Here is a 16,013-nt window from a genome sequence, read left to right as displayed (position 1 = left end):
AGCAAAATGCATCATAAGAATGCCAAGATTAATCCTTAGAGTCATGTTAGTCTTCTTTTGAAGAAGTTGTCTTCTGTAATATCCCATGGGTTAGAATAAACTTGCCATGTATTTAATGGCCTTGAAAATAAATTCACAACACTAGGCCAACCCAAAACCCACTGGCTATACACATTAAAATCATTTCTTTGTCACCTTCACTAGTTACTTCCCGTGTAATTAAACCCCTTTAAAATTGAATTTGTAACGTAATCAGCTGTATATTGTCAGGACTGTGAGGCTGCTTCAGGATGCAATTAGAGCAAGGCTAAGTCAGGTGAACTTCGAATTATCAGTAGATGTGGGTGAGCCCCTGGAAATGGGCAATTACCATCATATGTCACACTTCTTATCTCTTTTGCAACAGGGCTACATAAAAGGAAAGTAGAGGGGTGTTTTAATGGCCTCCGCTGCCATTTGTGTGTATACCTAAATTTACATATTATACCCTGATGTATATTCATGTCTGCAGATTACACTTGAAAGAAAACGAATGATGTCAACTGCAGACATTAAACAGTGGGATATTTTATAGAGAATTTCAGGCCTGTCTCTGCACTCAGTTTTTTCTCTGAAGAATCTATGTACAGGCATTTTCCTTCCACTTTTTATGTTTTATGATCCTCCTTGCTGTGAGAGAAAAAGGAAGTCGATAGAGTAGATATTTTTTTCTTCTTTTCAGACCAAAAGACAGGTTTGGATTTTTTTTTCCTTCCTTAATCATGTATTTAGATATATTTTTTAAAATTCAAACTCTCAGCTGGTGACGTTTCTGCCCTTATAAAGCCCACCTTTTTCTCTCCCTGCTTTCATCCTGTTCCTTCATGTTCTGTGTCAACACTGTGGTATCAATTCCAGCTCATAATTATTGGTCTCCCATTTAGCCACAAGGTGTAAATTTGTTAACTGACCAGGCGTGCTCTGACGGTTAATCTCAATGTATGTCTAAAGGCTGAGCTTGCTGCCCTGGAAAATTTCCCTAGGGGATTGCCCTGTAGACTGTGAGGCCATTTGTTGAGCTGTCTGATGTGGAAGGAAAGAAAAGGAGAGGACCTGCCAGAGAGAAGCAGGATCATACAGTGCCGTTCAGAGGAAAGTGGGAAATCAAAGGACAGTTTCCTGTCCACTCCAGTTCTGCAAGCAGGCTCTTGGGAACTAGGGCATCAGGATATTTCCCTATTAGCGTTTTTAGAGAAGTCATTGAGAGAGAGCCCCCAACCCAAGGGTTAAGGCGAATTTAGTGATGCCCACAGGCTGTGCTCAGAAATTACCACCAACGCAGAACCCTTCTGTCTATGTCTGAGACTTGCAAGTTCTTCAAGAGCCTATAAAAATGCTTGGAACCAGAAGGGGGAAAAAAACACATTGGTATTGACTCCAGAATCCAAAAAGGTGTCTACAAAAATCAAAATTATTAAATGTCTAATTGAATGTCCACAAAATATTTAACATCAACCTCATTAAGTGTTGAATTTCACCTTCTTAAAAATCCATTACATGTGAAAACAAATTGTAGATTTGATTTTTTCACTTTGCAAGATTTTGAGCATGCTAATCCTAACTTAAATGATTGGCACATAGCAAATAATTTGAAATTCAAAATTATAAGAATCCCTTCTATTTTTTTTACACAAAAGTGTATATTTTAGGTAATTGAATATTTTAGATGAGATGTGGGGACATCTTAATATCTTTACATGGTAGGTGTGGTAGACCCTAAAACAGAAAGCCTAGAGCACATGAAGGTTTTAAAACTGTTCTGCATCTGGCTACTCTCCTCCAAGTATGTGATTATTCCTGAAGACAGACGTCTGTTTAGACCCTAATGGGGAGGACCAGAAGGCCAGACAGGGGAAGGGTTCCAGTTTGTTCTTGCTGTCTGCACCTGTAGTTGAGGTGAAGTGACGAAGGTGCTGTCTAAGTATGAGGAACTATTCACCAGGCACCTGTATCTCGTTGGAAAGATCCCAGGGTGGTCCCCGGTTCTGGCGAAGAAGGAGAGTTGCCATTGAGTTAAGGAAGTAAAAGCTGTCCAGGTGGGTCATGTCGGTAGAATTCCACTGCCCCCTTGTCTGAGTTGCGTTCGCTTCCAGCAGATTACCAGGCCTTTATGTGCCCTTGTGTTCTAATCCACATTTCTCAACTGGACAGAGACTTCTCTTTTTAGAATAGAAAACTTGAGGTGATGGGAACAGAAGGAAAGATGGGTTATCTGATTTCCATATGGGATGATCCTAGTCTTTAATGCAGTGGCCTAACTTCTGTGAGCTTTATTTTATTCATAATACATGGAGCAATGAATGCTGACTCCCCCCAAAACATATAGAAAATGACATTTCTTTGCAATCCCATCCCCCAGTAACAACCACTAATAACAGTTTGGTATCATTCTTTCAGAATTTTTTTCTTTATATGCACTAAAATATTAATTATTTTCCTTTATGAAATGAAACAATAAATATTTATAAATGTTTAATTTTTTCAGTTATCAATAGATATTTTCCATGTCAGAACATGTGAATTACCTCATTCATTTTAATGATCACATAGTATTCCACTGCATGGCTGGGCCACAGTTGACTTAACTGCTCTGTATTGCTGGACATTCGGGTTGGCCATTCAACTTTGACCTTTCAGGAGAATGAACCATGTACCTAAATAAACCATTATATTTTGGCTAAAAATATACATCCTTAGTCCCCTGTTTTGGCTTAACTCATCCCAGGAGCAGAAAGAATGAAATCTTCCCCTATACTGATGCTTGTTATTAAATGTAAATGCCATATGTGATTCTTCATTTATTTATTTCTTTGTCTTTTGTCTTTGCCTTTTTCTCTTATGCAGCCATCTGCAGCCAGGGACAAGGATGAACCAACTCTACCGGTAGGAAGCAGTGGCTTTGTCTGTACCTGTTTGTGTGCCTGTGGAGAGCGTGGGGCAGGGGTGGGAGTGAGACGGGTTTGTGTGCTCAACACATTACTCTCTCCCTTGGAATACTTAAATAATCTAACCCCTGATGTGTACTTCTACTCCGTGCTACAATTAGTGATGACTGAATTCTGGCATTCATGGACACATGCCTTCTGGGACTAGGTTTCAAAAGTTTGAATTTTCTCTTCCATTTGGTATGAACTTTTGTAGAAGTTGGAAGAGTGAGATATTTCCAAATTGCATTCCAAGGGATGTTGAACTAATATTTGGGGGTAGTGTGGGATCTAATGCTCAATATTTGTTTTCTTTGTGTATCTGCATGCACATACTTTGATTGGAAATTTCTTTTGGTCTCATCAAAAGAAAGAAATGCTGCATGAGACCTATATACTTAATGTATATATAATACACAAAAGAATGCTTTCAGTACTTCTCTAGATGTAATCTTTTTCAAATGAAGATCTCCACACCAGAGTTCTTCCAGTTTCGCAGAATAAGGACCATAATAGTTATGACGAGTTATTATTGATAAACACATTTTCGAGTTCCTATTTAATTAACACATCACATTTCAGATTTTGCACCATCGTAAAGAAACAACCTTCAGAATTATTGTGTTCAGCCATCAAACAGTGATTACATTTCCATTTTATTCAGGTCTCCTAAGTTTGCTCCTAAAATGTTTTGAACCGTAATCATCTGAATCCTCTATAACTAATAATACAATGCATTAAAAAATGTTTAAGACTTTCAAGGCCAAAAGAGTTAGTAATAAAGATACATATGACCCTGTCCTTCCTCCTGTAATGCTCAGGGCAAAGACATAACATTCATTGAGAGCCCATAGAATACACCTGATCCAGTACCAGAACACGGATACAGACTCAATCTCTTCTATTAAGGAGCCATAATCTGGTTCACCATTGAGGCACCAGTAATCCCCACTGATTCTTTTCCATCCCTATTGAATTGGCAATGTGATTTCTTCTGGTATCTCATAGTGATATTTTACTCATACTTTCTACGGGTTTCATGTTTGTCTCCAAATGTGTGGACCATGATTGTTAACAAGTGTTTTACAAAATAAGATCCTATGGATAATAGTTTGGAAACACTGCCCAAGTTAATCAAGTTAAACAGATTTCTTTAGTGTTAGACTTAGTGGTCTAATGATGTAGTTTGAAACCCTGAGGTGAGTTGGTCTAGGATATAGCACTTTCCAATATATATCCAATATGTATTTGATCATGGGGTCTCTTATGGGACATTTTTGGGGAAGCCCCCTTGTGGGTCTGGAGTATGATGGAATATTTTGGAAAACCCTGTTATGCAGAAGTTTGAAAGACATAGTGGAGAATAGTATTTTATTTTTACCTGCCCCAGAAAATTTACCTGTCAAACTTTTACGCTGAAAGTTCAATAAGAAATTAATTCCCTTACATTACGATACCTTTCAACTCCTTAAATCTGTCTGTCTATAAAGCTTGGCTGCCTCAGAGAGTCTTCTCTTGTGATGATCAACACAAAATCAACCACGGGGAGACAGCAGTTCCTATTCAGGATAAAAACCCATCAAAATACAGAGGGTTTGGGAGTTTTTAGGTTGTTTGCTTTTGAAGATAGAAGAAAAAGAGTTTGTCAGTAACCTTATCTCTAGATACTCATTCTTCCTTGTCACGTACCAGTTCCTTTTATTTGGCCAACGGATCACAACTAGTAGTTTGTGCAAAAGGAGCCCCCCTCAAAGTCGGGAGAGTTCTCATGGTTTCATGATAAGAGCTTCTGCTCCTTGAATCTCACTTAACACAAGCTATGCTGCTTTCTGGATTAGAGCTGTAGTCCCAGGGTAGAGATGAGGTAGCCCAGGAGATGTGCAAGACTCTGGGAAGCAAGGAGAAAATATTAGCACTTCGTCATTTACTGTGTTATTCTTCTTAACTTGTATTTTTGAAAGTGTTTTTATATGTTCATATTTTAGTATGTGTATCTATGCAGATATGGGCATAGATGCCTATTTATATACATTTAAACATTTTACTGATAGGATGCATACTTCAAAAATGTTAGAGACCACCCACTGGTTTAGAGAATAGTCATTGAGAAAAGCAGACCTGGGATCCATTCCTCCATCCTCCACTTCTTGTCAGTGTGACTTGGGCACCTCATTTCACTTGTCTGAGATGAAATGTCCTCATCTATCTAACAAGAATAAATAATAGCATCTAGTTCATAGGGTTCATTTTGCAAATAAGATAAATGAAGGGATGTGAAGCATATAACACATTGTCTGGCATTTACAAAGCTCTTTTTAAAAAGGGAAGCAATGCATTCATTTAGTAGGAAAGAATGTGAGAGAGCCATTCCCTCAGGGGCTTTGAAATGTGCTTTGAAAATCTTTGGCTCAATACTGTGTGATCATGCGACAGAAATGAGTGGCCACCAGACTAGGTGAGGATCTTGTCTATAATGCACTTGTCTTTCATTCCTGAGACTAACCATCTCTTTGGTTTCTCTGCTCAGGCTAAGCCGCGTCTCCAGCGAGGTGGAAGCTCTGCCTCCCTCCACAACAGTCTCATGAGGAATAGCATCTTCCAACTCATGATACACACCCTTGACCCACTCGCCGAAGGTAAACATCAAGCTTTGGTTTGGGAACTTGTTTGGGGGGAAAAGGATGCCAAAAGGCTTCTCTGCATAAAACGTGTTTGTGCTGTCGTCATGCACGCCTGCCAGCCTCCTCTTGTTTAGCTTCTGCCAGAAGCAGCCCTGGCCCTTTGACGTGCTTTATCTGCAACAGCTCAGTTCACCATCAGTGTTTTTTGTACCAGGAGTAGGATGTGAGGTCCGTGTGCTGATTCTATCTTTTGATGCCTCCAGCATAAATATAGTTTGTTATGAAGCAGAGAGGACAAAAAGGTTTCCCTCCCTTCCAGCTGAAGTAACAGTTCTCTTTTGTCATCATTTCTAAGTTTCAAAACAAAATTGTGTGTGAAGATAAATTGTGCACCTTAAAAAAGAGAGAAAAAGAACTCTATGATTTAGGAGGTCCATGAGTGGTTTGGGGAGTGATGTTCATGGCAGAACGTTGAGAGTGTACTGATCCTTTGGCAATTGGAGGGTGGGAGGTGAGCATCTATGCATCTAAAAAGCCCTGTCTTTGAGAACTGCTTAGGAGCTGTCATTGGAGACCCAAAAAGCCTGGCTCACTTCCCAGTGTAATCACATGAACCATCACAAACAACCCATTATTGTGTACTTCCAGTGTTACTCAGTCACAATGAGGCCAAATACATTGTGTTTCTTCAGCTGCATAAATATTCCCCAAAATTATTTTCAAGTTGATAGATATCGGATGTGTCAAATAAATATTAGTTTTGTCACTAGTAAGGGGTTCAAATATAACCAAGTATGTTCTCCCTTCATCCTTGGACTTTATAATTGGGCTCAATGTTACACAGGAGCTAATACAGCCTAGGAAATAGATACGTGCCACTGAATGAAGCCAGGGGATCTGATTGTCGAATCATGTTGTATGAATCAGAGATCTTACCCAATATAAGGCTTTGCTAAATAATTTCAAGAATATAAGCAATCAAGAAGTTCATATGAGGTAAAGAAAAATCTGTGACCCAAGAGTGGCTCCCAAGGACCTATCTTCCTTCATTGGACATGCACCTCACTCAGAATAATAGGTAAGGAACACAGGGTCGCCTCTCCTTGCAGAGCATGGGGCGTTTCAATCACAAATCATCTTCCTGTTATACCACAGAGAGTTGTATAGCTGATGTGATATTCTCCAAGAAGCCTTCCTCCACAGGTCCTGGGATCTGTTTACTAGAGGTAATTCTTAGCCAGGGACATCCTAAATATCATTACTCTATCTACACGGAGGTCCATTTGACAAGGATGTTAGACCTGGTCATGAGCCTTCTTTTCTTTCCCCTGGGATATACCCCCAGAGAAGGGAGTAAAGAGATTGCAGGCCGACTGCTTTAACTCCTTCCTCCCAACTACTAAGCAGTTGTGTGACTTTGGGCAAGTTAGGGTCTCTCTAGTATTTGGTTTCATCATCTATAGTAATATTAATAGTTATCTTTGGCACCTTACAGTTGACAAAGCATTTTCACCTCTGTAAACTTATGCTTCACAATAATGCTTCATAGCTAACATTATTATTCTACTTTCACAAAATATAGCACCACCAACATGGATCTCAAATGTATCTACTGCTCTCCCTCCTGCAGCACTTTATTCCAAACCATCTCCATCGCTTGCCTGCATTCCTGCATTCCTGCAGTAGCTTCCTAGCTGGTCTTTCAGTTCTTCCATTGCCACTGCCTAGACATATGTTCCATGCAGCAGCCCAAGTAATCTTCTTAAAAAGTAAATCAGGTTATGTCATTTCTACTTATAACATTCAGTGGCTTCCCAGGGCTCTTAGGAAAATTGTGAAATCCTTGCACAACTAGTAGTTTGTGCAAAAGGAGCCCCCCTCAAAGTCAGGAGAGTTCTCATGGTTCTGTTTCTTTGAATCTCACTTAAAACAGGCCATACTGCTTTCTGGATTAGAGCTGTAGTCCCGGGGTGAAGATGAGGTAGATCAGGAGATATGCAAGACGATCCTTTGGGAAGCAAGGAGAAAATATCAGCACCTTCATCATTTACGTTGTCATTCTTCTTAGCTTCTATTTTTGAAAATGTTTCTGTTCATGTTTTAGTACTTGTATCTATATATAATAGGAATATAGATATAGATATGAATATAGATACCTATTTATATACATTTAAAAATTTTGCTGATAGGATGCACAATTCAAACATGTTAGATGGCAGTTGGAGGGTGGGACGTGAGCCAAATCATGGTCTATGACAGGGGTCCCCAACCCCCAGACCACGGACTGGTACCAGCAGGAGGACAGCAGGCATTACCGCCTGAGCTCCCCCTCCTCTCAAATCAGCATTTGCATTAGATTCTCACAGGGGGCCGAACCCTATTGCGAACTGTGCATGAGAGATCTAGGTTGTGTGCTCCTTATTCGAATTTAATGCCTGATGATCCGAGGTGGAACAGTTTCATCCCCAAATCATCCTCCTTGACCTGGCCATGGAAAAATTGTCTTCCCCAAGACCCAGTGTCTGGTGTAGAAAAGCTTGGGGACCGCTGGTCTACATGATCTGCCTCTTGCTCCAAACTCAATTTCACTCTGTTTTAGTCACACAGACCTTTCTGTCTTCAGACAAACACCCCTTCCCTGCCCCAGGTTTTTCCATAGGCTGTTCTCTCCACTATAATATTTTCCTTTCCCCCACCCCCTTCCATTTTTCCCTGCGTTACTCCTGCCCATTTTTCAGCACTCTGTGTAAATACTTCCTGACCATTCAGCATAAATCAGGGTTCCCAATCCTCATCTGCCAATGAACCTTTAATTTTTCTTTACTGCTTATATCATGGTTTCTGTGATTGTTTATTTATTGCCTGTTTCTGCCAGGATACAGGAAGTTTCTTGAGACCAGGGACTCTATTTTATTCACTAGTTACCCACAAAGCCTAGAAGAATACCTGGTACATACTAGCGATGAAGGCTCAGGAAGATTAGGCAACTTGTTCAAAGTCATGATATTGACCTGATATTGACCATGCGAGAGAAGAAAGGAACAATTTTATCTACTCCAACTCAAGTATGATAAAGGGCCTGAGTATGTTTATTTTGGGCAAGGCAGTATTATGTAGCAATTAAAACGACAGACTCCCGAACCAGACTCTGGGTCCAGATCCCAGTTCTGCATTTACTAGCTGTGTGACCTCGGACAAGTCACCTAATCTTTCCGTATCTCAGTTTCCTCATCTGTAAAATCAGGAAAATACATAATGATGTCTGCATCATAGTGTTATTGTAAGGATTAAAATGTGAATATACACAAAGCGTTAAATACACAGCCTAGCACATCTTAATTGCCATATGCAGGTTTGGAATTATTCTACTTCATTATTTTGAAAAGTAACACAATATATGATTTTTAAAAATTCAAAATATTCCAAAGATTAAGGTGAAAAAAAATGTCTTCTTCCTTCATCAACCCTCTAATTTTCTCCAGTTCCCCAATTCTCCACAGAGGAAACCACAGTTTCCAGTTTCATGAAGCTCCTTCTAGAGATGTTTAATCATATGCAACTGTGTGTGTGTGTGTGTGTGTGTGTGTGTGTGTGTGTGTGTGTGCACGCCTGTGAATGTGGTCATGTCCTTGCCCACAGGTCTCAATAATCTAAATGTTCCTGGTTTTTGTTTGGAAGAATTCAGTTTCTGGTAGGGCTTGTTTTTGTTTTTTCTGTTTGGAGAAGAGGTTATGTTTTGTTTTTGTGAGATAAGGGAAAGTGAATCTAGGTTGTCTCAGAGTTGGGCCATCAGTGATTTTCCAAAACGCCTGGCCCTTGTGGAGCTGTGCTACAATTAAACTGTATTCCTGCTGTAGCAAGATGTGCCTCCTGAATCCAGGCACCTGCTTTCAAGGTGAAACCTCTCCCTGAAAGATGTGGGAGGCTACAGTGGTGTGAATCTGAGAGATGCTGAGAGCCATAATCAGCTCTGGACTTGAGTGATTAGAAAATATGGAAAGCACTTCAATGCTTTAAAATTGCTCCATAGCAGGCGGCCAAGAAAACAGATTGCTCTGGTATTTTTCCCCCAAAATTCACAATCATTTTCCATTCCGAGAACAGCCAAAAAATTAACCCACAGCTCTCAGAAATAGTCATCTCTCTTAGTTTGCATCTAATCACTTGAATTCACATGTCCTTGTGCCAAACTGTCACCTTCTAACAACAAAGAGCATGCTAGTTACATCACCAAGTTGATGGCATGAACGCTGCAGTCAGTAGCTTCCTTGTAGCACTAAAGAACAGTTCGTTCATGTCACTGGTGTTCACCTGGCTGGGTAGTGCATTGGCACTACTGGCATTTGGTGTATGTTCAAAAGGGAACTATTCAAATTCATTTGAAAGCAGCATCTAGGACAGATGGCCTACAGAAACACATTCCCCTTTGTCTCATCTGTGCCACTCAGGTGTTGTTGTCTTCCAAAATCCAGTGAATGAGCCCTTGCCAAAAGCCTTCATTAGTGGTTGGTTCCGCCTCTGAGCCTGAGTCACAAGAGTCCAGCAGTGTTTGCGTTTTATTATCTGTTGATGTGTAACAAAGCACCCCAAGACTTAGTGGCTTATAACTGCCACCATCTTATTACTCATAATTTTGTGGATTCGAAATTTGAGCAGGGATTACCTGGGTGAGTTTTCTGTTCCATGTGGCATCATTGGAGGTCATTTGATGGTATTTAGCTGGTAGATGGGTAGGTTAGAAGGTCTGAAAGGACCTCACTCAAGCTTAACACCTACAAAGGAAGGCACAGTGGAAAGCTGGGCTCAACTGGGTCCCCTGATTCCCCCTGTGGTCTCAGGACCTTTCCATGTGGATAGACTAACATGTTTTATATGGTAGTTAAGGGTTCCAAGAGCAAACCTTCCAGGAAGACCAAGCAGAAGCTGCAAGGCTTTATATGACCTAGCCTGGGAAATCCCAGGATGTCAGTTGTACTGCATTCAATCAGTCAGGCAGTCACTAAGTCCAGCCCAGACTCATGGGGACAAAATTAGACTTCACTTCTCAAAGGGAGGAATACCAAAGAACATGGTGAAACCACCTTGGATGTGATCCAGTCTGTTTCAGTGACATACATTGTTTATTGGTTCCACTGTTCATTGTTCCTTGGTGTGCTCTGGATGGACCACATTATGTAGGGGGGACAAAGTTGGCCTGACTAGGTGAAGGTTTAGTTCAAACATAGCTGAACAGTGCCTTTTCAGGGACACAAAACTCTGAACAGGACATTGTTCATGAAAAGATGGAATCTGCTTAAGGCAGATGAATGGTTGGAATAAATATTTTCTTTCTTTTATAAGAAAACCTTGGGGAACTAGAATTATTGGTCTTTGAGATCACAGGATGGCTATCTGAATTGATCTTTCTAATAAATTCAGTGTCCTATATTGATTTTAACATTTTCTCTAAACAAGCCTTTATATTTGCTCAGGGGTACATCTTCATGAACCTAAAAACAAGGATGCTGGATGTTGCAGTTTTGCAGTGAGAAGTATCTTCTCCTACCATTTGTCTCAAAATGATAGCACCAACCAACATTTGCAGAGTACTTTCTGTAGGCCAGGCACTATGCTGAGTGCTTTATATAAACCATCTCATTAATCCTTCCATGAGCCCTACTCCATCATTCAGAGGACACTGACATGTAAAGAGGCTATGGCTCTATGCCCCACTAAGGCAAGGTGACACAAGAAGTAAATGGCAGAGCCAGAATTTGAACCTGTATCTGCCTGACTCACAGTCTGTGTTTGTAGTTCTTTTCTGCTACTCTGCCTCCTTGTGTAACCCCATGTCCAACCCAGCATTCCTTGTTCTCCTGGTGTAGACACCAGCTTAAATCACAAGAGCTCTGACCTATCCCTGGACCAGGGATGGATTTTATTATTATTGTTATTGATATTATTATTACTACTACTACTGCTACCACTTCTACTTAGGAAGACTTAAAGAACCTCTTTTGCCAGAGAGGGTTTTTTAAAAGCTCTCTCTTCCTCTGGTTTGGGACAAGGAGAAGAAAATAGAATGCTGGGAATAAAGATGTTTAGGATTGACCTTTTTGGGGAAAGAGGAGCGTAGAGAAAAAATGGTGATATCTTCCTCTCTCCACCTTCATGTCCTCCTCATCCTGTGCCTTGATGGTTTCAGTTCAAAGAAGTGAAAATTGTAAAATGCGTGGTCTTGAACTGCTTCTAAAGCTTCTGCAGCCCAGGCTGCCATCTCTAGACAGGAACTGGCAGGTTGTGTTTGGCAGGCATATAGGCATATATGTTCTCCCAAAGACTTCAGAGAAAGGAATACCACAGTCTTTTCTGGTGATCAATCACAGTCACCACAAGGCAAATGACTAGTAGAAATTCAGGGGTGAAAATTACCACCTTGAACAAAGAGATAACAAAGTTGTTAAAAAGTGAGGGTCTACTATATGGTAGTATTTTTACTGAACAAAGTGTAGCATTATCACTATTGGCAATAGTAGCTTCCACTTATTGAACACTTGTCTCTTATATATCTCATCATCCCCACTTCATGGATAAATACCAAGGCCCAGAGCAGCTTGGTGACCTGCCCAGATGGATGTTATATCTCTACCGACATTGATCTGGTTCCAAAGCCATTCTCTCCATCTGCTGAGTAGTAGGAAACCAAACACAGAAGATCCCATACATGATTCAAGATGAAAATTGTTTTTTATCAGTTGTTTTTGTTTGTTTTTAGAAACAGGGTCTTGGTATGTTGCCCAGGCTAGACTTGAAATCCTGGGCTCAAGTGATCCTCCCACCTCAGCCTCCTGAGTAGGTGGGACTACAGGTACAAGACACCATACCCAGCTTGTTTCCTGTCTTTGATAAAGAACTATGAGCAGTGAATGAGCAGAGAGGTAGTCTAGTACAGCATTTAATAAGAGTGAGGATTGACTGAAACTAGACCCCCATGGGTTCTAGTCCCAGCTCTGTCCTTCACTAGGTGTGTGACCTTGGATGATTTGTTTATCCTCTCTGTGCCTCAACCTCCTCATTTGTAGAAAGAGAGTAATAATACCTACCTCATAGGGTTGTTTTAATAGTATGCGAGCTAATATACACTGGGCATGTTGGCACACACCTGTAATCCCAGCTACTCTGGAGGCTAAGGCAGAACGATTACTTGAGCTTAGGAGTACAAGAGCAGCCTGGGCAACATAGCAAGACCTCTGTCTCTAAATTAGAAAAAAAGGAAACTAAAACAAATGAAGAGTATGTGAGCTAGTATATGAAAAGCACTTACAACAAGGCCTGGCAGAGAATAAGTGCCAGTTAAATGCTAAATGTTATTAAGAAATGGACAGAAAAGGACCTCAGTATAGAATCTTGCTTGCTCCAGAGAGTAATAGTGATAATAATAGTGTTTGGTTTTCACATTTGAGCACTTACTAGGTACCAGGTACTGTGCTTTGCAAACATTATCTCACTCAATTCTCTCAGCAAGCCCATGAGAGAGAATCTGTTATCCTCATTTTATAGATGAAGAAACTGAGACCCCAAGTGGTTTTCTTACCTGCCTGAAGCCACAGTCCTAGGATAGTAGAGTCAGCTTTTTAATGCAGGTTGTCAGAGCCAGCCCTGCTGCTTAATACTCTCTGTTCCCCCCACCTCTCATCAGCAGTTCCTCACAAGTGTCATGCTTCTCAGATGAGATCGATTTGGGGAAATCTATTTTCCCAGGACCACATTATGTAACTCCATAGTAGAGCCCAGTTAGAGTCAAATGTGTTCACCTTCTTCTTCCCATCCCTAGTAACTTTGTCCAGTCTTCTTGAGTTCTCAATTTATAGGGAAGAGATGGAAGTTCCCCTTTTCCCTCTTTCTGAAGGGCTGTCTGCTGACCCATGAGTCCAATTTATTTCACAGTGGCCCTGAATCTTTCCCCAGAAAAGGCATGCCCCAAACTTGTCCATAGAAGAATCCTGGATCCCCTAAAATGTAAGTCAGATCACACCCCACCTCTGCTCAAAACCATCTCACCAAGAGCAAAAGCCCTAGAGCGTACAGCGGCCCCAGAACCCCTGCAACTTCCCACTCTACCTCCTTCCGCCTTTCCCCTCCCGCCTCCTCTCTTCCTCCTATCCTCTCTTCTCTTCTCTCACCCCTCCTTCCCTCTTCTCTGCCCTCGTTTCCCCTCCTTCCCCTCCTTCCTCTCCCTCATCTCTCTCTGCCCGTCTCTCACCTTCCTCCCTTCCTCCCCTGCTTTGCCCCCTCGTCTCCCCTCCTTCCTGTCTCCTCATTTCTCTACCCTTCTCTCTTTTCTCTCACATGTCATTTCCCTTGTTCTGCTTCTCTGACTGCCTAGCAGCTCCTTCCAAATCCCAAGCACACTCCTGCCTCAGGGCCCTTACACATGTTCCCCCTTTTTCTAGATATCCAGTTGGCTCCTGGTCTCCCCTCCTTCAAGTCAGCCTTCACATGTCACCTGATCAGAGGCCTTACTCAGTCAACCTTTTGAAAATATCAGAAGCAAAACAATGAAAGTGAATCCGAGTTCTCACTCTCCCTCTCCCTGCTCTGCATTCTCCTTAACACTTGTCCCCGTGAACGTATGTATTTGTTGTATGCTGCCTGTCTCTACCCTTATTCCTCCAACAGAGCAGGACTCAGGGCAGGCTTGGCTCTATCCCTAGTGTCTGGCACAAGTGGGCCCCAGTACATATTTGCTAAATGAATTGAATGAGTACTTGCCTTTATAATTTTTCTGCTAGGGAACTATATGTCTCTAGCCATGTAGATTTTCTTAATCCATGCCCTGTCAAAGGGCTCTGTTGTAGTGACCAACAAAGTTCTATTTACTTGATGGTTCTCTTGCAGCTATGAAGAGTGATCAGATCTGGTTTGGCCACCATTGTATAGTACCAGCACAGCAATGATGTTATTATGTAGGTGCTTGGTCAGTATTTGCTGCATAATGGAATATATCTCTCTCTAGTCCTGGAGTCACTGCTGCAATGGGAAATGTTTGCTGTCTGCCTCACACCTTCCTGATGAGTTCTTCCATCTCCTTGTTCCTCTCTTCCATCCAAATGCTTTGTTCTTCTCTCGTTTCCTTTCATTTTCTTCTCTTTAATACACTGTTCTTTCCTTTATTACATTCCCCAGGCCTAATTTTATATGTTCAGAGAATTATCATCGCAACAAGAAGCTAAGATGTTTATTGTTTTAACCATTCATTCCTTTTACAAAATCAAACACCTGTAAAATAACATCCACCTCAATTTGGTGTTGAGTTTGAGAAGGAAATTGCAAAAAAAATGAAGGTTCTTACTTATTTTCTGTGGGCTCTTGTACACTCTCCTACAATTATAGTAATTTCTCCTTCCTTGTGTAGATTCAAATTTTCATTTACATTTTTTCATTGTAACAACAGTTGTATTACTAATACCAATATTTAATAAATTCATGCACTAGACACCTTAAGAAACATAGGAGTAGGAATAATTCTCACCTAATGCACCTGTAATCGAACTAAAGCAGGGGTCCCCAACCCCCAGGCCATGGACTGGTACCAGTTCATGGTCCATTAGGAACTGGGCCACACAGCAGGAGGTGAGCAGCCAGTGGGTGAGCATGACCGCCTGAGCTCCACCTCCTGTCAGATCAGAGGAGGCATTCAGTTCTCAAAGGAGCGTGAACTCTATGGTGAACTGTGCATGTGAGGATCTAGGTTGCGGCTCCTTATGAGAATCTAATGCCTGATGATCTGAAGTGGAACAGTTTCATCCTGAAACCATCCCCACCACTCACCCCACACCCACCCATGGAAAAATTGTCTTCCACAAAAGCCAATCCCTGGTGTCAAAAACGCTGGGGACTGGTGAACTAAAGGATTATTTAAACATGAAAGCAATGAAGACCCCACTCACAAATGCAACAAAACCATAAAATACCAAAGATTAACCCAAAAGAAATATTTAAGAACTTTATGGCAAAAATCATCACAATCATCATTTCTGAAGAACATAAAAGATCTAAATAAATGCTATTATAAAGATGTCAGTTCTCTCCAAATTAAACTCTAAATGCAACTCAATCCCAGTCCTAGTGTCCAACACTTTCAACAAAGAAGTACAAAAAAGCATCATCAAGAGCAGCTTTTAGATGTTCTGGCTGAAGTATTCAGGAGGCTGGTGAAGAGGCTGGATCAGAGGCCACCGGGGTCTCCTCTGAGGTGGCCCTGGAGGGGCACACTGCCATAGGGTATAAGCACCACTGCCCTGGCCAGATTCACTAACTGCTCTTGGTGAGGCACCAAGCGGGGCAGGAGAGGGGCTTCCTGGAGCATTTGAATCCCCAACTGAAGGGACATGGCCCTCATTCCTGAAGCAGTGAGAGCGCACATTCATGTAAGTGGCCTTCTGGCATG

At 41.3% G+C, this 16,013-nt stretch overlaps 1 protein-coding gene across 5 annotated transcripts in view; it reads left to right on the top strand.

Moving 5' to 3' along the window:
- The window catches only part of SLC24A2 (solute carrier family 24 member 2), an 800,438-nt gene that overhangs the window by 682,710 nt on the left and 101,715 nt on the right, over nucleotides 1-16,013 (top strand). For all 5 annotated transcript variants that reach the window (XM_017014592.2, NM_001193288.3, NM_020344.4 and 2 more), the window contains 2 exons: nucleotides 2,884-2,922; nucleotides 5,491-5,599. In XM_017014592.2, the coding sequence (XP_016870081.1) occupies nucleotides 2,884-2,922; nucleotides 5,491-5,599 (148 nt within the window). The remainder of the gene's footprint in view (nucleotides 1-2,883; nucleotides 2,923-5,490; nucleotides 5,600-16,013) is intronic.

Source organism: Homo sapiens, chromosome 9 (genome assembly GCF_000001405.40).
Source record: "Homo sapiens chromosome 9, GRCh38.p14 Primary Assembly".
NCBI classification, from domain to species: domain Eukaryota; kingdom Metazoa; phylum Chordata; class Mammalia; order Primates; family Hominidae; genus Homo; species Homo sapiens.
The sequence above is the reverse complement of the archived record's forward strand: the minus strand, read 5'-3'. Positions and strand labels throughout refer to the sequence as shown.